Here is a 27,825-nt window from a genome sequence, read left to right on the forward strand (position 1 = left end):
AGAGGACTCTGAAGGAAACATCTGAAAGGTTAGGGCCCTGCTGGGCAACGTTGAGGTCGACACTGTGGACAGGCAGCTCCATGTAATTCTTCTTCCTGCCCTTACCCAGCCAAACCTGCACCCTTCTGGGGGTGGACCTCTGTTTGTCCCGTTTGTAACCACTTCTGTCTGGCATGGGCTCCAAGAGTTGATGCTGCATGCAGGCCTCATGTACTTTGACACAAGTGTGAGAGTGCTGGGGGTTGGAAGACTCATGTGTGCCAGCCTCCAGGTACAGCTAGCCTGTTTCCTCCATGCCAAGGCCTTGTCTCCCTTGAGGCAGAGTGGTGTGGTGGAGCGAGTACTGGACTAAGTCAGAAGGCCCAGGCAGTTCAGGCAGCCACAGATTAAGTCACTTCCACTCTGGCCATGGGGTCTTTGTAAGATGAGGAGGTTATGTCAGATGCGCTCTGGTGAAAGTATGGAAAAAAGCATTGGTGACGTGTGGAGCTAAGGAGGTCAGGCTTGTCACCAGGAGCTGGCCCTGTCCCCAGCCATGTGTCCCCATCAGCACTGCTGGGAAAGCAGCTCAGACCCCAGGGCCGGCAGCCGTGAGGGTATCTTGCAGTGGCTCTTTGGGAGCAGCGGCTGCTATTTTTAGTAAGCTGCCTAATTGGAGGTCCTGGTGGAGCTTAACCAGCTCACCTTGTGCTTTGATCCTTCTGTTTGGCCTTCTCTTTTTACGTGGAAAGAGCTGAAGTTCATGCCCTGACCAAAGCAGATTTGTTTTTGCAGGAGACGGAGGCTTTTGCTGTTAAAAAAAACTGCCCCTTCCCAGGCCCCTGCTCTGTCTCTTAAGTAATTTCCAGTGGGTTGTCAGCATTGATGTTGGTTCCTTCCTAATAAGATCTCCCCCTTTTATCTGCTATATCAGGACATCAGGGGTGGGGGCTGAAAAGAGTATTGAAAAAGATGGAAGCATTACTCTCTGCAGGAAAACAGATTGGTTTTAAAAATGCTGTCCTACATCCTGCCTCAGATGATGGCCCTTCGCACATGATTTCTCTCACTTTTGATGCCCTCACTTTATTTTAAGCCGAAGAACCAAACCTTCGAGTAAAGCCTCTTTGTTCCTTTTTAGCAGTGAGATATCTCCTAGGATGGGAGACCAGGTGTTTTCTCGGGAACAGTCATCATTTAGCTTTTTCCCAAAGGAAAGGAACTCTGTGTGTCCCTGGTGGCTCTGGGAATGGCGTGTGAGCCCATTTCCTCAGGATAAAACTAAGATGGTAATGAATAATGTCTGTTTGATTTGTGTCAGATATTCATGTGACACAGACACTAAGTGCTCGTAAACACTCTCAGTTAATTCTTGTGACAGCCTTTAGGGAATAGGCCTCATGCTTACCTCCATTATACAGATGAGGAAAACTGAGGCCTAGAGAGTCTGAGTCGTCCCACTGCTATGTGACCATGTGCCTGCACCATCTAACATGGTGCCAGCGCTCCTGATGTGTGGACGTGAGTGTCTGTTTTCTGGATGTGCATACAGCAGTGTACCAGGCTGCATGACCGTGGGGTGCTGCTGCATAGAACCTTTGGCCATGAGCGAGTTTTTGGTGAACTAACAGAATTCATTGTCCCCTTCCTGGTAGAGAATTGCTTCTGTGTCCTGAGGAGATGTGGCATGAAGGGTGGGCAAGGATTGTTCCTGCCAGCTGGGTGGCCGTGTCTTTCATCCTTCCTTCCTCCCGACCAGTCCACGGCTGTGTTCAAGCCTGGTGGGGAGCCGTGAAGGCAGAACCGTTTCTCCGTCCTTCCTTTTGTCCCTGTCACCTTCCCCTGGCTGCTAGCAGAGTACCTGTCCTGTGTCACAGAGAGACAGAGCCCCAATTGTTTTCTTTCCGCTGCGTCTGCTCCTTGCCTCCCCCTCAGCCACCCACGAGGTCTCAGTGCTGTGCCAGCTAGCTTGCTGCAGGGAGCCGCTGCCTCCCTTCGGAGCACCCACGCTTCCAGTCTCCCTTCCATCTTTCATAAAAGCATGGGCCTGTGGCTCAGTGGTATGGGCCACCAGCTTTGTCCTTAAGACCCCTCTTCATTATTTCCCTGAGCCCACTCTGGGGCCCAGTGTGGGCACTTGTTCAGGTTTCTCTGTTGGGATTCTTCTTGGTTTAGGGAGGGTGGTTGGCATGTGGTGGAGTTGAGAGGGGCCTTGTTGCTTCCAGGTGCTTTGGTAGAGTGGTCCCAGGTATCCACTGGGCGTGTTTGCTGCTTTCTCCTGTCTTCCCTGTCACAGTCCACTTTAGGGTTATATAAACCACACACAGAAGCCTACAAATAGACTTTTGTTGTTCATCCTCAAGTAGGCACTAATTCCATTCGATGGAACCTGGGATGGGCATCGCTTTCTCCCAGGGCAGGGAGCACTGCCTGCTGTCCCACAGCATGTCTCACCCACCCTCGTGGTGGGGCAGGTCGAGGGCCCAACAGGGATGCTCTTGGGCTTTTTCACTGCAGGCCTCAGCCAGCACCCCCAGGCAGCCCCTGTTGCTGCTCTCTGGCCAACAGTCTCCTAAGAGTCCAGGGTTGCCCATTGCTATTGTGGGGTCACATATCTTTCTACATCCATACTCCTAGGGAGGCGGAGTCGGTCTTGAAACTGGGTGGGGACCCCTCCATTCCCCCGTGCTCCTCTTGACTGGGGCAGTACTGTTCTCGCCCCCTAAGAAGGAGGTAGAGGTGAGGTCCCTGTTCACCTTGTCTTGGAGACCAGTCAAGACAGGAAAGCTCTCACCTCAGAGATGGATGGGTCCCTTGGCCACTGAGTCAGGCCACTGAGGCAGAGGAGGGCAGGCAGTCACTCACTGGTGGTGGTGTGAGAGACGCTGTCTCTGATTATCCGACGTCCTGTAATGAGATACTTTTCAGTGAGGGCTGTTCCCTGGAAACAGTGTGACTCCAGGACTATGGGAAGGGGGTCTGATTTGGGCCCTAATTCCAGCTCAGCCATTACCAGCCTGGTGGCCTAGGCAGGGCCTTCCTTTCAAGGATTTGATCTTTATAATAGTTTTGATCTTTATTTAGGGTTAGGATTAGGTTAAGGTTTTGATCTTTAAAATAGTTTTTCCTACCCCATATAGGACATCTGCCACTCAAAGGGAGGCATGTTAAAGAAACCTTTTATTGTGGCAAGCCGTAAGACAAAAAAACATGTGCATCCCAGGTTCAGCTTGATGAAGTTTCACAGATTAAGCACACCTGTGTAGCCAGTACCATGATCAGGATCTTCCTGAGTCCCTCAGTGGCTTTGAGGGATCTCAGAGCACGGCATCTCCAGGTGGGTGTGGGAGCTTGTCCAGGGCGAAGTGTCTGCAGTGTTGCAGTGAGGCACGGGGTGGCCTCACCACCATGTCTTTCTCAGCCCTGCCGGCGTCCAACACAGCAGAGGTGCTCAGTACCCCGTTTTCTACTGAGTGACTGAATGGGTGAAAGGCAACTGGATTCCTACACTCTTGGTCTTTTCCAGGGAGTCTGTGTCTTGGTGTTTCTGCTGCTTCACTCTTTGTGGTCGACTTGTAGAAGCCCCTCTGCCCAGAGGACTTGATCCTGGGCAGGCAGCAGCAGGAACACACCATGCCTGGCGTGGGCAGAACCTGTGATCTTGAAAGAGTTGAGCCTCCACCACTTCAGAGAGAGGGCAGCAAGAGCGCTCTGGAGCCTGCCCTCCACAGAGCTTGGTGCTTTGAGACCTGGACAGTGCCCACCAGACAGAATCCACATAGTGTTTCCTCTCCTCCTTCCAGAACCGGATCTTCCTGAGTCCCTCAGTGGCTTTGACTGGTGAAGGCTGGCCAGGCCTGCTGGAGAGATCCGGGATGCAGAGCTGTTTAGTCTGGGAGGCAGGTCAGTCTCAGAGGATGGGTGGGTCAGGGCTGAACACAAGGAAAAAAGACGCCACACATGGAAGGAAATCACCACTATGCCATCATAACTGACCAACTACATTTTCCCAACCTTGGAAGGACAAGGTAGGAGTGGCAGGCTAGAAGGATAGGTCTTCAAACATCACTGTTGATGCAAAGCTCCCATAACAAGTTGGATTTCTGAGAAGCAGATTGGGAATTCCCAGTGGGAGAGAGGCAGATGAGAGCATCCAAGATAACGACTTCTTTCCCAGATGCTGGCCTTCCTGGAATGCTGGCAGAGGATCTCAGTTCTTAATAATTATTTTATTGGGTGGGGAAGTCTTTGGAAGCAGAAAATAAGCCAAAGAGGAACTTAATGTCATACCCCTTTCTCAAGGAAAGTTTTATCTACAACACATTTGGTCTATTCTTAGCTTCTGCTCCTGTCCTTTGGAAACGTAGCCTGGAGGGTGTCGGGATTTAATGGGCTCTAGCCCCCTGCCCCTCCCTTTAGAGTGAGGGGGTGGATTGGTGTTTGTGGGTTTTCTCTGTGAATCAGTTCTGAGAACACCAGAGAGCTTCTTTCAGGGTTCTGGACTTACTGCCAGGAGGCCCAATTCCTCCCAGTGACAAAGTCACTGAAGACAAGAGTCTTCAGGAAGGAGCCTCAGAGCCTGGGCAGGGCGGGGACTTCAAGGCTGCTGCCAGGTTTGGGTAGATGTGGGGAGCAGGAGCCAGACAGAGGCTGGGTGCTATTCAGGTTGCTCCGGCATCTGGCATTTGGGCACAAGACCTGTCCTTAGAAGGCTTGGGGCTGGCAGGTGCCTTGTGAGCCTGACACTGTTGGTGCAGGGAGACACCTGCATCATCTCACGCAGCAGCTTCCTCTGGAGTTCAGTGTCCTGGGGCGCAACAGGGAGGGCTGTGGCCTGGCCTGTATTCAGGTGGATTTGGCACACAGGCCCAGGCTGGTCCTGCACATCCCCTGCTAGAGAGCAATCCCTACCCTCCTTTGTCCCCTTCGTGTCTGAGACTCTGATGGCGGGGGAAACCCAGAGATTCCTGTTGTGCATTGAGCTCGTTCTTGAGTTCCCATCTCTCTAGCTGGTTTGGAATCTTAAGTTTCTCCCCAGCAGGTGATTTGAAGTCCTTTGGGCTTCCAGCTTGCATGGGTTCCTCTGTGCCTGCCTGCTGCCCTCTGTGTCTGTAAGTGGTTGGCAGGAAGGTGCATGTGTGAGAACCTATGGTATGCCCGCTTAGGGCCAGGGCTGCAGAGGTTGCTCGCTGCTCAGGGGCCTGCCCGGAGCCCTGGCCACATGTCCCGCCTCACATACCTGCAAGGGCCATTTCCCTGTAGATAGAGCAGTTGCCTGACACAGCCACCACCTCTCCCTTTTTCCCAGGCCTGCTGGAGAAGGATGGCCCTCCCTCCTGCCTTGTCCCTCAGGCTGCCTGAGGGTTTCGTTTTCTTGTGGCTGGCATGGCCTTTCAGGGTACTGTCCCCAAGCACTTTATGAATCATAATCGCAGCTCCAGCATGTCCATTCACCCCCACTGCCAGCAGGCTCTTTACAGCTGCATTTTGTCTCCACACTCTTCTGTCTTTCTTTGCTTTCATCAGGCCCTCTTTGGCCCAGCAAAAAGCTGTAAGTGACTTAATACAGCTGGGTGGCCAGCCTGGGACAGACAGCCATCGGAGCCAAGCCTCTGGCATCAAATATAGATCAAGGTCTCCCTTTGAGGCAGTGGTTCCCAGCCTTGGCTGAACATTAGAATCACTAGAGAAGCTTTTAAGAATTCCTATGCCTCAGCCCTACATCTGAGAATTTAAATCTGAGTCTCTCTCTGGGCATAGAACCTCTATTTTGAAATCTTCCCAGGTGATTACATTATTCAGCAAAAGTTTGGAACCATTGCTTTAAGCTCTAAAACCTTCCATTTTAAGCCAGCTGGCCTTTGTCTCTAGCCTCTAGAGAGGTCTGGGCCCCCTGAAGCTGCTTCTCCCTGCTGTAGATCCCTCAGGGGTGACCGGGAGGGTGCTGGGGGTGGGGCCGGGTGAATGTTATGGGCCTCACAGCTGCATTGCTTTCAGTCTCACTGCAGCAAACAGCAGCTTGTTTTCTCTAGATCTGCCTGGCAGGCCTTTGGGCAGAAAAGGCAGTTACACCATGTGGCATGGCAGCGCCCTCTCCCTCTCAGGCTCAGGCAGACTTGGAGACCAGGCAAGCTGGGACACAGGAAGCTCCATCTGAAGCCACCAGTGGCAGCACTCCGCCCACCTGTATGCTAGCACTGCCTCTTCTCCAGTGCAACTTCTCCCGCCGGCTGTGGTGCGCAGATTTCTGAAAGCGCTCAAACAGGCTGAAGGGCCCTTAGCCCCCTTCTCTCCCTTTCCTTCTGTGTCCTCTCCTTACCCTCGCCACTTTGTTCCCCTCCCTTCTTATCCAAACATGCCTTGGAAAGGTCTCAAAAACTCATGCTGAAGGTATAAAATATTCAATCAGTATCCGTTCTGCCCACTGCTGAGCTCGTGGGTATATGGGGCACCGTTGCAGGTTCTTCTCTGAGAATTCACCAGAGGGACTTCCAGACAGTGGTGTAAAAGGGAGTGTGCACTTTTGCAGTAGAGTGGAGTCTGCAAGCCAAGAGGCCAGAGGAGCCATACATAGGCTCTGTGTGCAAGGGAAAGCAGTTCTCTCACACGAGTACTGACACTTTTGAGACCACAATGCCTGTGTACTGGGATTCAACAGTTAAGTAAATGGACGGCAGGTGGCAGGAGCCACTGTTGCACACAGTGACAAGGAACAGGCAGGCAAGGGAAGGAGGCTAGACTGATCCACGGAGGTGCTAGTGTGTTTAGTTGATAGAGACTTTAATAAAGATACATAAGGATACAGAGAGAAGTGTTTATAGATATGTGGTATGCCCAGGTTATATACACCTCTATTTCCTTGTTCCATTAGCGGAGAGGGCCTAGAAGCTGTGAGACCCGCGAAACAATGAGCACACCTGCCATCCAGATCTTGATTTTTAATGGCACTTTCCAATAAAAGTAAACCAGGGCTTCTGGAGGAAATGATCAATTCTAGGGCTGGGGCGGGAAATATACCCTAAAGGTACATGAAGCACCTTGCAATGCCAGGAAGTGCTTTGAGGCTGCACAGGTGCACATGCGGATGGGGGTGTGTCAGGGGGACATGGGAGCCGGCTGAAAAGCTCCCAGTGTCCAAAGCTGGAACACTTTGAGCAACAAAATAAATACTGTAATGTTGGATTATGGTGTAGTGTGGATGTTTGTCCCCTCCAAACCTCACGTTGAAATGTGTTCCCCAGTGTTGGAGGTGGGGCCTAGTTGGGAGGCGTTTGGGTCATGAGGGCAGATCCCTCATGAGTAGATCAGTGCCCTGCCCTGGGCGGGGCAGCAAGTGGGTTCTTGCTCTGTTAGTTTCCTGGAGACCTTGTTGTTAAAAAGTGCCTGGCAGCTTCCTTCTCACTCCCGCCCTCCTCTCTGACCATGTGATCTCTGCACACACCAGCGCCCATTTGCCTTCCACCCTGAGTAGAGCAGCACAAGGCCCTCCCCAGATGAGATCCCCAATCTTGAACTTTCCAGCCATCCAGAATTGTGAGCCAAATAACCCTCTTTTTCTTTATAGATGACCCAGCTTCAGGTATTCCCTTATAGCGGCACAAAACAGACTAAGACAAGATATAAAATCCACAAGTCCGTATTGGCATAAGGAAATCATTTAGTAAAGAAATAAATAAATGGGAGAGAAGAAACAAAATGTCCTGTGCAGAATTCCAGGTTATTTATGCAGCTACTCCTTACTTAAGGAGATGGCCATAGCTCCCCACTCCGTGTTGAGTGGTGACTTCCTTCCAGAGAGCACAGGGGTGGGGAGCAGCTCTGCAGCAGAGAAACTGACAGGCACGACCCCAGCCAGGCACTTAAGGTCATCATCAACAGTGATCAGTCGTGAAGCCTTGGAAGGATGGGAAGAGAAGGGGTATCACCTCTATGGTTGTCCTCCCTTAAACACATAACCACAGTCTAGTCGTGAGAACAACGTCAGACAAACCCAAATTGAGGTGCAGTCTACAACACACCTGATCAGCACTCCTCAAAACCATCAAGGTCACCCAAAACACAGAAGGTCTGAGAAACTGTTGCAGCCAAAAGGAGCCTCAGGGGACAGGACACTTAATGTGATGTGGGGTCCTGAGTGGGATCTTGGAGCAGGAGAACAGTAGATGCAAGCTGAGGCCACCTGAATCAAGTTGTGCTGAATGAGGTGTGAGCTTTAGTTAATAACAGGTCAGTATTGGTTTATTCATTGTAGCAAATGCACTGCACTGATGTATTAATAACAGGGTAAACTGGGTGAGAGGTGTAGGAGAACTCTTCACACACTCTTGTCTTCTTTTCTGTAAATGTGAATCTATTCTGAAATTAAAAGGTTATTTTAAAAGTTTAAAAAAAAAAACCAAAAAAAAAAGAAAAAACCTCTAGGCACAGTGTCGTGGGAGAGCCCTGTTTCACAAGGGGTAGTCCCAAAAAAAAAAAAAAAAAAAAAAAAAAGTACCATAGAGACTCGAAGAGAGAGGAAGCCACTGTAGGCCAGGCTGCTAAGAAGGACCTGGAAAGCAGGTGCCAGTGGCCTTGCCCTTGAAGGACAGGGAAGACCAGCACCCTGGCCATGAAGGCCCCAGCAGGTGTCCTGAGGCAGGACCAGGGCCCCAGGTCATGAGAGGAAAGCTAGGAAGTGGGGGCTCAGCAGGGAGCCTCACCAGGGGCTTTTTCCCATCTCCCCTGCAGCCTGGGCACCTGCCTGCTGGCCTGTGTGTCCAGGGGGGTCTCTGTTTTCTGCTTCTGCTGAGGAGGGAGACCTGGCAACGGGTGGCCCCTGAGAGACCATGCTGGGGAACAGCTGTGGAGAGTGAAGCCAGCGTCCCTCTTGGGACCGCATGTTCTGTTGTAGGACTTGTTCAGACTCTTCTGCCTGTTAAACCGAGGCAGCAGGACCAAGTGGGAACTGCGGACTGACTCAGCTGTTACGGGCGGTACCAACAGCAGGCAGTCTCCTACCTTCCTGAGTGTGATGTCTGGTCAGACCTGTGCCCAGTCTCCCTCAAGCGGGCCGCCTTCCCCAGCACTGCCCACTCACTCTCTGTTCCCAGGAGGCCTTTCCCACCATATCTGCTGGCTTCTCACCGAGGCCCTTCCCCACATGCTACCCACCCTGGCATTTGTTTAGCTTGCCCGACTGCTTGGAAGGGCAACCGTCCAGGCCAGGTTTCATCAGTTCTGTTCATTGTCGCATGACAGTCGTCGGCACCCCACAGAGCAGGTGTTGGGTAAATATTAATATTTACGAGGTGTGCGGGTGCTGTGGGCAGCGTGGTCCACCTTGGGCATGCTGCTGCGCTTTTCCAACTGGTGTCCCTGTGTATGCGATGGCAGTGATACACCTCATACTTGCGGGACAGAACATGCCTGTGTGAAAGGCCTGGGTAACGGCGCTTTCTTATCTCCAGCTGAGCTCTGTCTCTGCCCTCCCACTCCTTGGGCCTAGCTCTCTCTGTCGGGATCTCCCAGGACAAGTCTCGAGCCTTGTGCCTGGGGCCACCTTTAAGACATCTGAATCCTCCAAACCCGGCCTCCTTGCCCCTGCATCCCACAAGTGCCCATCTCACAGCAGCTATGTATGCCCTCTCTTCCCCCCGTATCATGAAGTCTGTGGCAGGCACCATGTCTTCCTCATCACTGTGACCCCAAGCCTGATGTCCAGTAGATGCCATGGAGTTAAAGGATTTGGGGGATGGTGGCCCTGCCCCGCAGCCCCAGCCCCTCCCCAGCTGCCCCTGTCCTCTGTACGTGGAACAGTCCTGGCTCCTGCCGTCTGCTCCTGCAGGGCTCACTCAGGACCGTCATCTGCATGGTTCATCGCTCCCATGAACTGAGTTCCACTTACTCCCAGCCTCCTCCCCTCTGCCCCTTTAAGGGGAGCCCAGCTCTGCGGGAGGAGGACAGCCTCCTGAGGACAGGGCTGCAACTGGGCTGTGGGTTGGTGCCACTGGACAAAGGTGTTTCAGCGCAGCCGGTGGCGTTGAGGGGGAGGGAGGGAGGATGAGGCGGCCCTCAGGCTGTGCCTGTACTGCGTTCCATCCCCACTGAGTAGCACGCGGGCCTTGGGAGAGGCTAGGCATTTCTGCTGGTGACACAGCCAACTCACTCTGTCCTTTCTCCCTGGCCACAGGAGGCCAGTGAGGCATCCTCAGCCCTGGGCTGTTTCCCAGCGGTCCTCCGAGCTCAGACAGCTGGGATGGAACTTGGGGTCTCACTAGCTCCCATGAGCTTTGGGAGCTGTCCACTTGGGGACTCCCCAGGGTTGGGGCTGGAACTGTTTCATGCCCTGGGGGGTGGCAACTTGAGGCTGCCCTTGCAGACGGCTCCTGGCCCTGCCCTGCAGTCTCTTCTTCCACTGATTGGTATCCCTGCCTGCCCTCCCCAGCTGAGTCCATCACTAGTGGTATAGCTCTCAAGGGTCTGTTTTCTATGAAGACAGGGACAGAAATGCCAGAGAAAGGTAGCTGGGGTATAGGTCAGGTACAGAATTTTTGAAAAGAAATTTGCCAGTAGCTGTTCTCACCCTGGCAACCACCATTCTACTCTCTATGAATTTGAGTACTTTGGGTGCTTCACATAAGTGGAATCATACAGTATCTATCCTTTTGTGACTGGCTTATTGCACTTAGCATAGTGTTTTCAAGATTCATCCATAGTATAGCACATACCAGAATTTCTTTCCTTTTTATGGCTGAATTATATGGCAGTGTATATACATACTACATTTTGTTTATTCATCTATCTATTGGTGGACACTGGAGCTGCTTCCATCTGTTGGCTATTGTGAATAATGCTGCCATGGTACGTGGGTGTACAAATATCTGTTCGAGTCCCTGTGTTCAGTTCCTCTGGGTATATACCTACAAGTGGAATTGCTGGATGAAACAGCAAATCTATAAAGTCCAGTTTAATTTTTTGAAGAAGCTCCATACTGCTTTCCAGAGTGGCTGCACCACGGTTCCAGTTACTCCATGACCTCACCAACACTGACAGTTTTCTGTTTTTTAACTTACCTCTACCCTAGTGAATGTGAACTAGCATCTCATTGTGGCTGATGTGATTTGCATTTTCTTTTCTTTTCTTTTCTTTTTTTTTTTTTTTTTTTACTTAAGAGACAGGGTCTCACTCTGTTGCCCAGACTGGAGTGCAGTGGTGCCATCACAGCTCACTGCAACCTCGAACTCCTGGGCTCAAGGGATCCTCCCTGCTCCCAAGTAACTGGGACTATAAGAGTACACCACCACATCTGGCTATTTATTTTTTAATTTTTATTTTTAGAGATGAGGTCTCACTATCTTGCCCAGGTTGGTCTCAAACTTCTGGCCCCAAGCAATCCTCCTGCTTTGGCCTTCTGAAGTGCTAGGTGACTTTCATTTTCTAATGACTAATGACGTCAGGCACCTTTTTATGTGTGTCTTGGCCATTTGTATATCTTCTTTGTATATTCACATCCTTTGTCTATTTTTAATTGTTTTTTGTTGTTGAGTTTTAGGAGCTGTTTATTCTAGATACTAATACTTTGTCAGATATATGATTTGCAAGTATTCCCTTCCCTTCCCTAGGTTGCCTTTTCGCTCTCTTGGTCCTTAGATGTACAAAGGTTTTTAATTTTGATGAAGTCTAGTTTATCTTTTTTTTTTCTTTTGTTGCTTGTGCTTTTGGCGTCATATCCAAGAAATGGTTGCTAAATCCAGTGTTACAGGGCTTTTTTCCTTGGTCTTCTGTGCATTTTATAGCCTTTGTTCTTGCATTGAGGTATCTGCTCCATTTCAAGTTCATTGTTGCATATGGTGTAGTGTCACCCTTGGTTGGTGGATCCTGCTAGCTGACCATTGTGGTGGGTGAGGGGGATGAAAAGCTGTTCTTCCCCAGTTCCCATGCCTCTCCTACCTTCTTCCCATCTACCCCCCGCCCACCCACCACCAGTTTTAGGAGGAAGGTGGGCCTTAACTGGGTGAGGGCTCCCAAGGGAAGCTCCTCTGGCAGAGGGCCCTTGGCCATTTGGCGGGGGCCCTGGTATCTCGCTGCCCAGGCAGCGGCCGAAGCCAGCAGGCCAGCCTGGCGTAGCAGGTGTGAGGAGGAACTTCCTGGTCTTGGCAGCAAGTGAAAAAGGTCCTTGTTTTCTTATTTTCTCCGTTAAAAAAAAAGTAGTTTAGTGGTTCTAACTATGCCCCTGGGAAAGCCCTGAACGGGTCATTTCCTCAGCATCCCACAAAGTCACTTGTAGCAGAAGGCCCAGCCCACGCACTGCAGCACCAAGGCTGGGGCGAGGCCCACACTGCATTGTTGCTGCTGGCATTAGCAGATGCTGCACATCTTGGAGGCCCCCTCCTGCTAATCCACGAATGCCTCAGAAAGCATGCACTGTCTCTGGGGCCAGAGCTGAATCTTAGAAGAGGGCCTACTTGGGATGGGAGCGGTAGCTCTGCGTCTGTGGTGACACCCACTGTCACATTCCAGTAGAGGGAAGGAAAGGTAGGGCCTCGGGATTTTGGCCCTGACTGCATGGTTCCTGCTTCTTCTGTGATGGAGGCGGCATGCTGTGGTGGGCTAGGAGTTAGGAAGCCTGGGCCTGAGTTTCCACGTCCAGACGTTAGGGAGAGGTGGGGTGTAGAGGGCCTTCCAGGCCTGGGTTGGCAGGGAGGCGAGCTCTTTCTCGTGATGGAGCCATGAAGGCCTGTTGGAAGGCCTGGCCTGCTTGCTGCTGAGCCTGTGGTTTCTCCCTGTTATCTGTGCAGTGTTCTGTTTTGTTTTGTTTGAAGTGTACAGGTCATTGTCTTTGAGGATATTCACGTGGTTATACAACCACCAACACAATCTAATTTCAGAGCATTTTTCATCAACCCCCAAACAAACCCTGCATCCCTTAGCTGCCACCGCCACTCCTCCCCTCCTGCTTCCCATCTTTATCGATTGGCCTGTCCTGGACGCTTGATGTAAATGGAGTCATGCAGCATCATCTCACAACTTTACCATCTGCTGGTTGCAGCAGAGTCATTGGCCCAAGGCTGGGGTGGTGGCTTCAGACCAACACCATGGACTTGGTGGCCTAGGTGCTGATCATGCAAAGGCCATTCCTCAGGGGCCTGCATCTCTTTCCAGACAGCTTCTCTACCTCATGCCCTGCAGAGCCTGCCACTGTCTGGTCTTTGCACACGTGTCATCCTGTTAACCCTTAATGAATATGGGATTTTGGTTAAAATGATGGTTTCTATTTTATAAATAAAACGTATCTATTACATATATAAGTAAATCAAATATTTATATTATAATTAAATCTATAATATAAATCTAGCAGGGTTGGCTTGTTCCATCATTCAGAAATGTTTACTGAAGCACATATTGGAAGGTGCTGACCTAGGTGTATAGAGTAAATACAAGGAGTTTTATCAGGCACCTTGTGGCTTAGTATGCAGAGCAGTTGGGCAGACCTGTGGATGGGCCATGGCCTCTGCACAGGGGCTCCCTTCAGGGAGCACAGGACAATGATCCAGGAGGGGAGATGTGCCAGGCAGGCCTCTCCGGCAGGACAGTGATAAAGGAGGCTGCTCTGTGCAGCGGGTAACCGTGGGTCTCCCAGGCCAGCAAGTAGGTCCAGGAGGCAAGGTGGGGCAATTGGTGCAGGGAGCAGAGCTTGGGCTGGGAGCTGTTGGAGCAGTTGAGTTGTGGGTTGGCTTGGCCGGATCTATGTTCATGAAGAATGGTTCTGGGGCTGTTCCTGTTGAATCATTCTGAGGCTCCCAGCACTGCTGTGCCTAGGAGGGTAGAACCCATGGGCCTCTTCACTGTGTACCAGGTGTTCCCAGCTGGCCTCATCTAGCCAAGCCTCCCACGGAACTCCCAGAATCACAGGTCTGAGGCCTCCGTCCTGCCAGTCCCCAGTCTGTATTGGTGGGCAGTGGGAAAGGGCCTGCCCCGCATGCATCTGCAGCTGGGGAGAGGGGTCAGAAATGTTTTGCAGGTAGTGTCTGGGGCCAGGTGCTGTCAGCCTGGGGCTCAGCAGAGGGGCAGACCCTGCTCTCCCCTGGAATGTGGCCTGGGAAACCAGCCTCTGGTGCTCCCCAGGGCCCCAAGGCAAGGGCCAGAGAGGCACAGGGAGAATCTGCACGGTACTCAGCTGCCTTTGGATTGACCCTTCGGCTTGGTCCATTGTTTTCAAGAGCCCTTATCAGCCATCTTAGCACAAGTAGATGGCCATGGTCTCTGAGTAGAGGATGTGCCCCCTCCCCTTGCAGAAGACGGTGGCCCATGATGCCCAGAGCTCCTCAGTCCACTGAGCCCTGCCTCTCTGCCACAGGGTAGAAGACGGAACATGCCCGACACTGTCCTCCCTCCTTCCCAAACATTCGAGGAAAGTTGTTGAACCCATCGTCTTCTGACCACCACCCTTGCTTGGTAGGAGAGTGGTGATGTGCACTGAGAAGCAGCAGGCGGCACGGGTGTGCCATCCCGAGCCTGAGCTCGAGTCCCGCTTCAGCTGTGCAGTATCGTTTGTAGTCTTGTGACAGAAGGGGGTAGATTATCACCCCAAAGGGAAATCTCTAGGCCAAAACATTAGGCCACTTCTCATTCCCCTCCCCTAGCCCCTGGCAACCACTCCTCTGCTTTTTCTCTATGGGTTGGCCTTTTCTGAACATTTCACCAAGATGGAGTCACACAGTGTGTGTCCTTTTGTGACTGGCTTCATTCACTTAGCGTGATGTTTCCAAGGTTTGCTCATGTTGGAGCATGTGTCAGGATTTCATTCTTTTTATGGCTGAATAAAATAATATTCCATTGTATGAATATTGCATTTTGTCTATCCATTTGTCCACTGATGGACATTTGGGCTGTTTCCACCTTTTGGCTATCGCGAATTATGCTGCTACGATATGATTTGTGTATATGTTCGAGTACCTGTCTTCTGTTCTTTTGGGTATATATCCAGTAATCAACTTGTTGGGTCATATGGAAACTGTCTGTAATTTTTTGAGGAACTGCTAAAGTTTTCCACAATAGCTACACCACTTTACAATCAAAACGAGGCCTATATTTACTACCATTTTACATTAGGGAAACTGAGGCTCACAATTTGCGACTTGCCCAGAATCACAGAGCTAGTGAGTGCAGAGCTAGGACTTGACTCCAAGGGTAGGCTCTTCTTGGCTAGAGAGCTCTGAAAACAGATTGCTTAGAGTCTACCTTAGATCTCAGAACTTCTGCAGAGGGAAACAGCTGGGAGAGCAGTGGTTTGTGGCTCCAGCTCTTCCTCCTGTCCTGGGCTGATGGAAGCCCCATGAGCTGGTCTCCCTGGCCTGTGCTGTAGGTCCAGCCTAGGTAGCCCTGGCTGGCCAAAGCTGCCTAAGGTCCTGGGAGTCTCACGGGGGCTGTGTGGCTAGCCCAGGTCATGGGGTGGTCTCCCGGCCCTTCTTTCTGCAGCCAAACTACTTCTAGGAGCCTGATCTAACAAATCACAAGCCTCTCTTTTGAGGATGTGCTGGGGACCACCCCAAAAGCCATCGGGTGTAGAATGGGCATCCAACTCTTGGCCCAAAGTCCCTCTGGGGTTGCAGGACCCTCTCTGGGGTCTGCCAGGTTGTAGCATGCAGGTTTCATGTGGGACACCTGAAGGGTGGGGAAGAGTGCAGAATCATGGCTCCCTTCCCAAGGAGGTGATAGGACCTGGAATCAGACCTGACACCTGAGGACAGGCATTGGGATGAGGGCTCAGCCCAGCCTAGGGGCTGTTCCATGCAGCTTCAGGAGGCTACAGTGTGGAGGATGATTGTGGAACTGCCCTTTGAACCATGAGGACTGTGGAGTACACCAGGACTGGCGGTGACGACTGGGAAGGGGGAAGGGAGTTCTGCCTGGTGGGTACCTGCTAGGCCCATTGTCAGTCCCTAGGCGTGGTTGGCCTAACACTTCTCTGAGTTGTGGCACAGAGGCCAGGCAGAGGCTTTGCTTACTCTGGGCCTGCATGGGATCATGACCCCTTTTCTGCGGCTCTTTCCAGTTTCCTCAGAGGACTTGGGCTTTGGGGATATCTGTCTGTGGAGAGTGCTGCTCCCTGGGGAGGTCTGCAGCCCCAGAGGGACTTTGGGCCAAGAGTTAAGTGCCCTTTCTACACTTGATGGCCTTTGGGGTAGTCACCAGCACCTCCTCAAAAGAGAGGGGCTTGTGATTTGTTAGATCGGGCTCCTAGAAGCAGTTTGGCTGCAGCAAGAAGAGCCGGGAGACCACCTTTGACCTGAGCCAGCCACACAGCCCCCATGAGCCCTGCTCCTGTGTTGTGCCTCCCAGGATGTGGGTTCCAGGGGCGCCTAGGAACTCAGCTGGTGCTCCCCAAGGGCTGTGTTCCTTCCTGAGAAAACTCTGGAGCCAATGTCCTGAATTCCAAAGAAAGGAAGGACCTCTCCTTAGACCTGGCTCGAGCAGCCAGACCATGTCTGCAGCACAGCCCACCAGCCCAAGGGAGGAGGGAGGTGGTGTTCCTGCCTGGGCGCTGCCTAATCAGGCCATAGCTCAGTGAAGTGCCAGGCTGAAGGCAGGGGCCGTGCTGGGCAAGTCTCCACGTGGTCCAGGCTGGGTAGCCCTGCCTACAGTTTCTCTGATAAACTTAGGCATGACCTTGTGCAAACAATTGTTAAGTCCAGGGAGGAAAGATGCCAAGGAGAGAGGGGCAAGGGTGCCAGTCAGAGAGGACCACACTTGTTCTGGGTGGCCCACAGAGTGCCACGTCCCATAATCACTTGGAGCCCCAGCTTGTACATTTGAAAGTCAGAACAATGATGTGCCTGCCTCCTGAAGCTGTCATCAGTACCTGTAGCTACTCAGGGCCTGGCCACAGTGAGCACCCAGGAAGTGGTGAATACACTTCCTGCTTCTACTGCAAGGCAATTCCCTGTGTCCTCCCTAGAACGTGCCGAGCTGCCTGTCCCTGCCAGAGTGCAGATGAGCAAGGCGACCGCTCAGCCCCAAAGTTTGCAGACAAAGCTTTTCATACTCCTTAAGTGGGTCACAGTGCATATGAAAAAATAATAAATACAGTGCACATGGTAGAAATACTGACTCACCGTTTTCCATTTCATGTGCATGTGTGCACTTGTGTGTGTGCTCATCATGGTGTGAATGTGGTGTTCCATGTGGGCCTTGGTTGGATGAGTTTGTGAAACATGCTGTCTCAGGACCTCAGGTGTGGGGGGAAGTCAGGTTTCACCTTGAAATCCCCTTTCTGACCTTGAGATTTTGGGAGTAATTCTTTGCCCTAGGGGAAAGCCTTTGTTTCTTGGGTCTCTGTTTTCTGGTCTGAATGAGGGATTGGGGGATAAAGGGAAGACTCCCACCCAGGTCTCACGTGCGACTGGTTCTGTAACAGCAGCTGCCTGGAAGGAAGGTCCTCCTGATGATAACGCCAAACAGCCTCTCACCATATTTCTGCTTACTTTCCTCTTGTTTCCCTCTGGCTCTTAGAAGCTTGCCTTCCCACACTCATGGGGTCAACAAGAAACAAAGGCCTGTTTTCCCAAAAGTGCTTCTGCTTGGGCCAGGGGTGTGGTGGAGAGTCCCCGGTTGGAGAGGCTGCTATAGCAGTATTATCCTAACCCAGGAAGGTCACTCTGGCCTCTGACAAGATGCCCTGGCTGCAGTGCACAGAGCTTCCAGCCTCCCATGGGCCTGTGGACAGAGGACCGGCAGGAGGAGCAGGGTGTGCTCATCTCTTTGGAGAGAAGCCTGAGTCCTGTGTCCTCCTGCCTAAACAATCTGCAGCCTGTAGCAACTCTGCCCCTTAGCTGGGGTAGGGTGGAGCCCAGAAGAGGACCAGAGGCTCCAGATAGCTGGAGGGCTATGTGGGGGCTGAACCCATAACTTGGTGACATAGCAGAGTCGATGGCCTACAGAGGGCCGTCTCTTTTTTTGGAAAATGAATCAAACAAAACTAGGTGAAGCTCAGCCTCCTAGGAAACCTGGATTCCTGACCTCTGGAGGTATAGAATTAGGGCAGGAAGCTCATCAGAGTTGCTTTGCTGACAGCGTTAGAGCTGAGGCGTTCCTTCTGGCTGGATTTGGGTTACAGCCTAGATATTTGCCCTTACTCTCGCAGCACAAGATTCAGGCCTACCCAGACACAGATGGTTGTATCCTGCCCCCTAGGCAGAGGCAGGGGAGGGGAGAGGTGCTGGCTGAGGGGCTCCCTGGAGCCATTGGTTGAGTCTGTTCAGTCTGGAAATGCTGCTGAGTGCAGAGCAGCAGGGGGACCAGCTCTGGAACCAGAGTGCCTGGGTTTGAATCCTGACATGGCTACTTCCTAGCATTGTGACCTTAAATCAAAATTACAGTTCTGCGTTGTTTAATGACAGGCACACATCCTGAGAAATGTGTTTTCTCAGGCAGTTTGGTCCTTGTGTAAATATTCTAGAGTGCACTTACACAAAGTTAGACAGTACAGCTTATTGCACACCTAGGCTTTGTGGTAGAGCCTATTGCTGCGAAGCCATAAACCTGTACAGCATATACTGCAATATCACAAGCAGTTATAACACAGTGGCAAGTATTGATGTATCCAAACCTAGCAAAACATAGAGGGAGCTGTTGACTAACATCGTTGTGCGGTGCATGACTGCACCTAGCTTCTTAGCAGTCTGCTTCCTTGTCTGCGGGATGAGAGTGACAGTAGTGCCTGCCTCATAGTGTGTTCGGAATGTTCAGTGAGAGGACACGGGAAGAGTTTGCAGCAGTGCGTGGTATTCAAGGGCATGGGCGCAAACATGAGCACCATTGTGCCCTGCGCCTGTGCTGGTGCTGTTGTTGCTGCTTCCCCATCGGCAGCAGGGGAAGGGGGAACACTGCACTACTGAGACTTGGAGGGAGCTATTTTCTTTTTCTTTTTCTTTTTTTAAGTTCAGGGGTGCAAGTGCAGGTTTGTCACATAGGTAAAGTTGTGTCATGGAAGTTTGTTGTACAGGTTATTTCATCACCCAGATATTAAGCCTAATGCCCATTAGTTACTTTTCCTGATCTTCTCCCTCTTCCCACCCTCCCCACTCTGAAAGGCCCCAGTGTGTGTTGTTTCTCTCCATGTGTCTATATGTTCTCATCATTTAGCTCCCACTTACAAGTGAGAGCATGTGCTGTGTGGTTTTCTGTTCCTGTGTTCGTTTGCTAAAGATAGTGGCCTCCAGCTCCATCCATGTCCCTGCAAAGGGTATTATCTCATTCTTTTTTATGACTACATAATATTCCATGGTGTATATATATCACATTTTCTTTCTCTGGTCTGTATCATTGATGGGCATTCCGTGTCTTTGCTATTGTGAATAGTGCTACAGTGAACATACATATGCATGTGTCTTTATAATAGAATGACTTATATTCCTTTGGGTATATACCCAGTAATGAGATTGCTGCATCAAATGGTATTTCTATCTTTAGGTCTTTGAGGAATTGCCACACTGTCTTCCACAATGGCTGAACTAATTTACACTCCCACCAACAGTGTATAAGTGTTCCTTTCTCTCCACAATCGAAGGGAGCTGTTTTTTGTTTTCATTTTGTTGTTTTTTTGTTTATTTGTTTTGTTTTGTTTTGTTTTTGAGATGGAATCTCGCTCCATCACCCAGGCTGGAGTGCAGTGGCGCAATCTCGGCTCACTGCAAGCTCCGCCTCCCGGGTTCACGCCATTCTCCTGCCTCAGCCTCCCGAGTAGCTGGGACTATAGACGACTGCCACCACGCCCAGCTAATTTTTTGTATTTTTAGTAGAGACAGGGTTTCACCGTGTTAGCCAGGATGATCTCGATCTCCTGACCTCGTGATCCGCCCGTCTTGGCCTCCCAAAGTGCTGGGATTACAGGCATGAGCCACTGCGCCTGGCCAAAGGGAGCTATTTTATAGCAGGTCCTCAGTACGTACCTGGACCTGTCTTCCAAGAGTGCTGGTTAGAAGCAGTACATAAATACAATTTAAAAAGTTAGTCCCAAACCCTCACGCAGTGCTAGTGGGAATGTGAGATGGCACAGCCACTTTGGGAAATAGTCTGGCAGCTCCTCAGAGTTAAACATATAGTTTCCATATGACCCAGCACTTCTGCTCCTAGGTACACACCCAAGAGAAATGAGAGCACAGGAGCACTGTACAGGAATGTGCACAGCAGCACTATACACAGTAGCCAAAAAATGGAAACAGTCCAAATGTCCATCAACAGATGAATGGATAAACAAAATGCGGTATAGCCGCACAATGGAACGTTATTCAGCTGTAAAAAGTATTGAAAGACTGACACATGCTGCAATGCGGAGGAACCTTGAAAATATGCTAAATCCTTGAAAATATGCTAAATGGAAGCCAGATTTTTCCATTTATGCAAGGTATCCAGAAGAGATGCATCCACAGAGGCAGGAAGCAGGTTAGCAGTTGTTGAGGTGGGGACAGGTGTCAAAGGGAAGTGACTGCGAATGGCTTTTCAGGGGGAGATGGAAATGTTCTGCACTTGATTGCAGAACAGCTCTGTGAACATGATGCTAAAAGCCATTGAACTGTACACTTTAGGTAAATTGTATGTAAATTATATCTCAATAAAGCTGTTGTTAAAAAGAAAAGTTAGGCCAGGGGCGGTGGCTTCGCGCCTGTAATGCCAGCACTGTGGGAGGCTGAAGCAGGCGGATCAGTTGATGTCAGGAGTTCGAGACCAGCCTGGCCAACATGGTGAAACCCCGTCTCTACTAAAAATACAAAAATTACTATAAAATACAAAAATATAATACTAAAAATACAAAAATTAGCTGGGTGTGGTAGCATGCATCTGTAGTCCCAGCTAGTTGGGAGGCTGAGACAGGAGAATCCCTTGAACCCAGGGGATGGAGGTTGCAGTGAGCTGAGATCACACCACTGCACTCCAGCCTGGGCAACAGAGCGAGACTTCGTCTCAAAAAAAAAAAAAAAAAAAAAGAAAGAAAAAACGAAAAGTTAATACCAGGATTAAATAAAAATGAGATCATCTGATTAAGAGCAGGAAGTTTTTTTTCCCTCCTCCATGGAAATAGATTGGGCTCTGGAGTTAAAATATTCCCTTCTTTGATAACGTATTTACCCCCATTTGCTCTCCTTTCTCTGTGTGTGATAGGGTTAGGTGATGCCCGCCTCACAGTAAGTAATATTGAAGAGGGCATAAAAGGGAGTGTAACTGTGAAATCTTGACACACAGGTAGTTAATACATGCTAATTTCCTTCAGTCCTGGCTCAGCTTGGTATGTTTTTGCCTTTTATTAATGCTTCTGAAATCCTTTTTGGAAGGAGATAGAACCCTCACTTTGCACATGAGGAAACTGAGGCCCAGAGAGGTGGAGAGGTGGAAGGCATTGCTTCATACTCATTTGGTGAGGCTGAGACACAACCACGTTCAGCAGCAGAGCAGGGGCTTTGTTCAGCTGGGGGCCAAGTGCCCAAACAATTACTGCGTAAGAGGGAAGAGTGGGCTTCAGGGACAGTGAGCAATTTGGTGACACTGAACCCTGGAACAGTGGCCTCAAAGTGGGGTCTGTGCCTCCAGGGGGCCGGTGGATGATCCCTTGAGAAGAAAACTTTGGAATTTCTGTTGATATATTCCATCTAACATATGTCTCTGTGTGTGTGTGTGCACACGCATGCACACTCATAATAGACTGGCACCATGGTATGGATACACAGCTCATCCAGGGCCTGTACTGTCAGCAGTTTGAGACCACGGTCCCAAGGACCAGGGTGGGAGTCAAAGACCAGAGAGGAAGGGCCACCTTAGGAAAGCCCCTCTGCCTCCACAGTGGTTCCTTCAGGATGGCTTCTGACACTCTAGTAACGAGTGCACTGGCCACTTTACCATTTCATGTCATCCAGTCCTCACTGTGGTCCATGGAGTTTCCTCAGCAAACAAGAGAGTCCACCTCAGAGAGACAAGATGCCTTGTCTAGGGAGGTGGAGGTGGGGTGCGCTTTTGCATGGGGGTGTTGGGCTCAAGAGGGAAGTCAGAGCAACCCTTCATTTGCCCAGAGGGTTCAGACAGGCACCTGCACTATGCCAGGATGCCCAGGATGAGAATTTCTGTCAAATAGAGTAAAGGGGCTGGAGCTGGAGAGAGGAGATTAGGAAAGCCAGGACCCCCACCTTGGGCAGGAAGGCCCACCTGTCCTGTGGCTGTGGCCATAGCACTCAGTGTGGGTCTCCCCAACCAGAAGGTGGCAGGGGCTTGGATCCAGGCTTCCTGGACTAACATAAAGATGGGGTCTGAGGCTGCCTCCTGTACCCTCTCCTTCTCAAGAAACACCCACTGCTTGGTTGCAGAGCAACCCTACCCATCTCCCTTTCCTGGCTCCTTCTCAAGGACCCTCCAAGAGTGTCTGGAAGAGACACCTGCGGGCCACTCCACTGATGGAGAGCACTGAGCTGGGCTTGAATGTGGCTCCTCCTCGTGTCCCCCCAGGGTCAGTGTTGAGGCAGGATGCCAATGGTGTATGCTGAAAGGGTGAAGCCACTGAAGGAGGCTTCCCTGTGAGCCCAGCCTCCATCCCACCTGCTGTGCCACCTCCCTTCTGAGCTGGACCCACGGGGGATGGCTGAGTCCAGAGACCCCACAAGGAAAGGCTTCTTGGACCTGGACATTTAACCATGGAGAAAAGAGCCAGCAGCCATGTAGGCAAGGGCTCTGCAAAGCCAGCAGCCCTCCGGTCTGACTCCTGCAGGCAGGCATCAAGGGGTGTAGAAAGAGGTGGCAAGTAGGTCAGAGGAAGTAACAGGAAGATCACAGGAGCTTGAGGTGGAGGGACAAGGAGGTTGCACCTAACCTGTTTCTGAAAGGAAGAAGGTCGGGGTGTGGAGAGTGGTTGGTCTGAGCTCAGCATGGGCACCAGACCCAGCATCCTGCTCTTGAGACCAAGCCCCCATTGACTGTCAGCAAGGAGCTTGAGGCTGGATGGCCTCTGGGTGGAAGGCAGCCCAACTGCAGGCCACCCCTCAGATGGATCAGAAGCATCTTCTGCTTCTTCAAGAATGAGAACAAGGAAATGGTGGGCTGTTGGGGGTGCTCAGTGGAGAAGCCAGCAGCTGTCCATTAGTGGGGTGGAGTCAGTGTGGAGTGTGTTAAGGACAGGGGCACCCCTGGTGTGGTGGTAACCATGGCAACCCATCTGCTCTCCCAAAGCATCCTTACGTTGGGAGAGTAAGAAAGAGGCCAGAGGGTACAGGGCTAAACAAGTCATCTCCATAAAGGTCCTCTTGCCTAGCCCTTTGCCTCAGTAGGGATTTCTTAAAGGCATCCTTTCCTGCTTTTGGTTTTCTGTCCCTAATTTCAGTGTGTAACAGTTTTTGCTGTAAGAAAAAAAGTTACTGTTTGCCATGCCAGAGCTGGTGTGGCAGCCTTTGCTGGGCTCTGCTATGGCCCTGGGAAGGTGCCGTGGGCCAGGCTGCCGGGCGTGCTCCTTGGCCGCCTCTAAAGAAGGCACAGTGCACCCACCCCACAGCCTGCTCTCAAGGATGTGGCTTCTCTCTGGCCCCCTCCTTGCCTCTAAAAATAACCCTGCTATTTTGAAACTGCCTCCTCTGGAGCTTTTTCTTGCTTCTCTGTGGGATCAGCAGCCCTTCTGAGACCAGGATCTCAGCTGCCCCTGTCACCGCAGCTGTCCCCATCCTGTCCTCCCCTGCATATCCCCTCCAGTGCAAGTGGGATGTCGCTCTCCACGTAGGAGGGATGTTTAGCTGGGTGTCCTCTGGAGAAGGCCAGGCCTGTCCCTGTCCTCCCTGGGATGGGCACAAAGGAAGAGGAGCTGGGGCTGGAGTGAGGGAGAGCACTCCTAGAGGCCCCACAGGCTGGGAGGGTCAGGAATGGCCTGGGGCTGTACGACATCTGTGGCCCCATTGGCTGGCCTCTGGGTGACTCTCTGCCGCCTTCTTCCAGCCCACGACCCTTCCTCAGGGCACCATCAACATGAACCAGTGCACAGATGTGGTGGATGGGGAGGGCCGCACGGGCCAGAAGTTCTCCCTGTGTATTCTGACGCCTGAGAAGGAGCATTTCATCCGGGCGGAGACCAAGGAGATCGTCAGTGGGTGAGTATGCTGGCACTGTGGAACAAGGCACCACCACCTGCCACAGGGCCAACACCAGATGGGCCGCCTGCCCCTGTGGCAGTGTCGATGTTGTCTACTTCCCCGTGTGCCTCTATTCTTGGGCTCTGTCTCTGTTCTCAACACCGCTGTGTGCTGAGCACAGCAGAAATCAGGACATTCACCATTCCACCTGCAGCCTCTGGGGCCCCTCTTTGCTCTGGCCACCTTACCCTCCTCGGGCCTCCCCACCATTGCACTCACCACACCCCCAACTCACCTGCCCCTCCACCTGGAAGGGGATCAGTCCCTGAATCATATGACCTGGGCACGCCCTCCCCCAGTCTGGGATGGCTGCTCCTCCTTCCAGGGCTGGTGCTGGGCTCCACCACCTATGAAAGCGCCAGGTTATCTGCTGTGTCCACGTGTGTCTCTGTCAGTGGTGGTGGGGGTGGGAGGTGTCTCAGTCACATCCCCAGCACCTCACACCCGAGCCACTCTGCTGCCACTGCACAGATTGGTTTCTGTGAGTGGAGAGAATGGGTAAGTGTCTCACTCACCCAGGTCCCCTGAGAGTGGCGAACTGGCTCAGGTTGAGAGAGCCCACAGTCCAGGGGCCTGAGCGCAGTGCTGAGCCCAGGGCAGCATCTGCCTTCCCAGAGCTCCCAGTCTAGCAGGGAATTCTTTGCTACCCACATGGCCTGGGCCATGGTGAAAAGCCGTACATAGTCCGTGCAGGTGAACAGGCTCATTGGGCCTGACAGGAGCTCACAAACTGGATCTCCGAGAATCCCTGTCTTGCTTAAGGCTGAGAAGGAGGCACATGAGTCTAAGAAGCTCTGGGAGAAAGTAAACCTGGGGCTTGCTGGGCCAGGCTGACTGTAGCAGTACAGAGTAGAGGGAATCAGGAATACGAAGCCCTTGAGTTTGAACACACAGATGACTCGGAGCACCAGCCTTTCTTTAGCCTCTCAGCTGCAGCCTGGCCAAGCCTGGTGAGTGAGCACAGCTGGAAGTCCAGGGCCACATGGCAAGGCGTCCAGGAGCCAGTGCTGGGTCCCGGGGGCGCTCTCTGCGGGGGTGTGCTCTCCCCTAGAGTCCTCCCCTGGAGAGAGGCAGGTTTGCATTTCTGAGCACCTGGAGCCGAGCTGGAGGAGCACTTCTGTCTCCCACAATCTTAATCCAGAACCATATGATCAAGAATGTCAAGGGCCTCTGAAGAACCCTCGTGGTACAGTCGAGGAGACCCAGGGCCTAGAGACAGGAGCCTGGCCAGGGGCACCTTCTGCACTTTCTGGCTCACACCTGTTTCTGCTGTTGGCCGGGCAGCACACAGCCGAGGCTTCCTCTGCCCAGGTGGCTTCCCTAGGAAACCCTCACCCTTTCCACAGGAGCTGGGTCCCAGGGAGGGTGTGGGTAACAGGTGGGATGGATGGGAGTCCTGGGTCTCCAGGGCAAGCTGGGGAGTGTCTGGAGCAGGGTTGGTTCTAGGACCAGCACATAGAGGTATGTGTTGTACCATGTGGTATTAGGAGAGGGTGATGTTTAGCATTTGGACTGCCTCCAGCAGGCAGCTTAAGTCCTGCCAGAAGTCCTCACTCCATCCCAAGCCCCTCTCCTGGGTCACTTCTCTGCTCTCTTCTGTTGCATATTCAGGCTTGCCATACCCATGCAGCTTGGGTAGACAAGATCGTTAATGGACCAAGGTACCGGGTGCACATGCCATCTGGGCCCTACGTGTGTGGTGGCTCAGTGGCGTATCCAAAGCCAGAATAAGCTGCCTGACGCTCTTCCCCTTCCCCTCGCCCTGGTTGTGGGCCACGTTAGTTCGTGTCCAACAGGCAGGTTCTCACGTGGCATAACCTCGTGATCCGCCCTCACCTTCCCACAAGCTGGGATGCTCAGCTGCGTGAGGGAGTCAGGTGTGGCCTATGCACCCTGGGGACAAGTGCTTTTGCCTCCTTCTCCCATTCCTCTGTCTCCTGCCCTCGCTGACAGCCCCCTTCCTCTGCTCCCTCTCTTGCCTCCCTCTGTTTCCCATTATAACTCCTCTTCCCAGTAACCTCATCCCTAGGCTCTGGAGCGCCATTCTGGGTCTGAGCTCTCTGGTCACATCAAAGCTGGTCCCTAAGAAGGTGCAGACACTTCCACCAGGCAGCTGGGAGCTGGGTGGGTTGGGGACAGTCCCACCCAGTCTTCTTCCCAGGTCTTCTCTGCATAGCCCTGACAGCTGCGTGGGCTGCCGGGTCTCTCCTGGGCCTGGGTAGAGGAAGTTGGCAGCTCTTTCCAGTTCCCACTTCCAGGATTCTGGGCCACACTTTACATAGCTCTTTTAGACGAGGTGGGTTTGGGTAGGAGTTGGCAAGGGAGCTCTTCTGTGCTCTCAGCTGGGTGAAGTCTGGACTTCCCTTCTCCCTGCCCTGCCTTTTAACCTTACCCACTCCCCTGTTCTCACTCATCCGGGCTCTGCCGTCCCTATCCGGGGAGCCCCAGCACCTACCAGTCCCATATTCACACCCCTCTCCTCTCTTCTTGGGGTTTGTTTTGTTAACATTTATAACACATCTGGATGATGTTAGACGCTTCCTATTGGGCTTCCTTGAGAAATCCAAGTGCAGAGGACACATTCCATCATCTATTCCTGGACCCTGCATCTCTGCGACTCCAGCCACAGACTGCAGTCTGAACAGAGATTAAGTTGCATAATGGGACTGAGGCCACATGAGACACCTGCTGTCCTGACTCCTCCCGAGTCCTAGGCTTGCTGGAGCCAGCCCAGGAGAGCTCAGCAGCTCCACGTAGTCAGCAGAGCACCTGCGGTGCAGCCTTCTCCCCTCCCCTCCAGGTTCCATCCTGCAAGGCCATTAGTCATTGCTGACTGATGGAACCTGGGCCAGTCTGCAGGGGCCTGGGGTACCTGGCAGGGTTCTGCACCTCCAGCATGCTCCACACCTTGGTGAAGTTTTAAGTGCAGCCTTCTGCAGGCACAGTCCCTCAGAGTGGTCAGAAGAAGTGGCAGCTGCCATGGCAGACTGGAAAGGCAAACCTCTTTAATCCCATAGGGCTTGTGAACATCCCAGGTTGTATGAGCGAGGCCCTCTCCTGGGACCTCTGCTCCCAGCCAGCCTTGATGAGAAGTGTGACCAGGGAGGAGAGGGGCTCAGGACCCTCAGAAGGCCTGCCTGTCTGCTGGCTTTGCAGATAGTCACAGCCTCCTTTCTTGTTTTGGGGCCGTGGAGGAATGACCCACAGGACCTGTGGCTTGGATCTCTGGCATTGCAGGTGTTTATTCATTCTCTCAGCAAATCGAGCATCACTGGCTGTGGGCTGAGCTGGGCTGAGGGTGGCCCCTCAGCTCTGTTGCTGTGGTTCCGTGCATTAAGCCTGGCCTCTGCCGCCACCACCTGTCAACAGCACACCCATCCTGAGGCTGTCTCAGAAGCCAGTGATTGTGACTGACCCTTCCTTTGTCTGTTTGTCCCTCCTTCCCTCCTTTCTTCATTTTCTCCTTCCCTCTCTTCCTGTCCTCCTCCCCTCCCTCCCTCCTCCCCATGCTCTTCCTCTCTTCGCTCCTCTATCCCTTTTCCCCCTCCCCTCCTCTCCTCTCCACCTCAAATTAAAGAAATACCTCTGGGCACAGAAGACTCGAGCCCTTCTCCTGCCCCAGGCTCAGTGTGCTGCTGGGTGCTGCACCCGTGTGATCTCTAGCAGGATACAGCAGTACAGACCCCCCCATCCCCAACCCTGGGCCCAGGCT

The 27,825-nt window shown here is 52.2% G+C and overlaps 1 protein-coding gene across 12 annotated transcripts in view, besides 6 other annotated features; it reads left to right on the top strand.

The window, feature by feature from the left end:
- The window catches only part of MPRIP (myosin phosphatase Rho interacting protein), a 150,187-nt gene that overhangs the window by 60,326 nt on the left and 62,036 nt on the right, over positions 1 to 27,825 (top strand). For all 12 annotated transcript variants that reach the window (NM_001364716.4, XM_011523764.3, XM_011523766.3 and 9 more), the window contains exon 4: positions 23,920 to 24,071. In NM_001364716.4, coding sequence (NP_001351645.2) covers positions 23,920 to 24,071 — 152 coding nt within the window. The remainder of the gene's footprint in view (positions 1 to 23,919; positions 24,072 to 27,825) is intronic.
- Positions 5,284 to 5,483: an enhancer, noted in NCBI's record as "active region_11787". NCBI's record gives its function as "activates an Ori minimal core promoter by ATAC-STARR-seq in GM12878 lymphoblastoid cells {active_cell/tissue: GM12878}" and the evidence as "EXISTENCE:reporter gene assay evidence [ECO:0000049][PMID:35858748]".
- Positions 5,504 to 6,028: an enhancer, noted in NCBI's record as "H3K27ac-H3K4me1 hESC enhancer chr17:17011600-17012124 (GRCh37/hg19 assembly coordinates)". NCBI's record gives its function as "activates a minimal SCP1, AML or CMV promoter by ChIP-STARR-seq in primed H9 embryonic stem cells {active_cell/tissue: H9 hESC(primed)}" and the evidence as "EXISTENCE:reporter gene assay evidence [ECO:0000049][PMID:30033119]".
- Positions 16,448 to 16,973: an enhancer, noted in NCBI's record as "H3K27ac-H3K4me1 hESC enhancer chr17:17022544-17023069 (GRCh37/hg19 assembly coordinates)". NCBI's record gives its function as "activates a minimal SCP1, AML or CMV promoter by ChIP-STARR-seq in primed H9 embryonic stem cells {active_cell/tissue: H9 hESC(primed)}" and the evidence as "EXISTENCE:reporter gene assay evidence [ECO:0000049][PMID:30033119]".
- Positions 23,735 to 24,234: an enhancer, noted in NCBI's record as "H3K4me1 hESC enhancer chr17:17029831-17030330 (GRCh37/hg19 assembly coordinates)". NCBI's record gives its function as "activates a minimal SCP1, AML or CMV promoter by ChIP-STARR-seq in naive H9 embryonic stem cells {active_cell/tissue: H9 hESC(naive)}" and the evidence as "EXISTENCE:reporter gene assay evidence [ECO:0000049][PMID:30033119]".
- Positions 24,699 to 25,200: an enhancer, noted in NCBI's record as "H3K4me1 hESC enhancer chr17:17030795-17031296 (GRCh37/hg19 assembly coordinates)". NCBI's record gives its function as "activates a minimal SCP1, AML or CMV promoter by ChIP-STARR-seq in primed H9 embryonic stem cells {active_cell/tissue: H9 hESC(primed)}" and the evidence as "EXISTENCE:reporter gene assay evidence [ECO:0000049][PMID:30033119]".
- Positions 25,201 to 25,700: an enhancer, noted in NCBI's record as "H3K4me1 hESC enhancer chr17:17031297-17031796 (GRCh37/hg19 assembly coordinates)". NCBI's record gives its function as "activates a minimal SCP1, AML or CMV promoter by ChIP-STARR-seq in primed H9 embryonic stem cells {active_cell/tissue: H9 hESC(primed)}" and the evidence as "EXISTENCE:reporter gene assay evidence [ECO:0000049][PMID:30033119]".

This window comes from Homo sapiens, chromosome 17 (assembly GCF_000001405.40).
Source record: "Homo sapiens chromosome 17, GRCh38.p14 Primary Assembly".
NCBI lineage: Eukaryota > Metazoa > Chordata > Mammalia > Primates > Hominidae > Homo > Homo sapiens.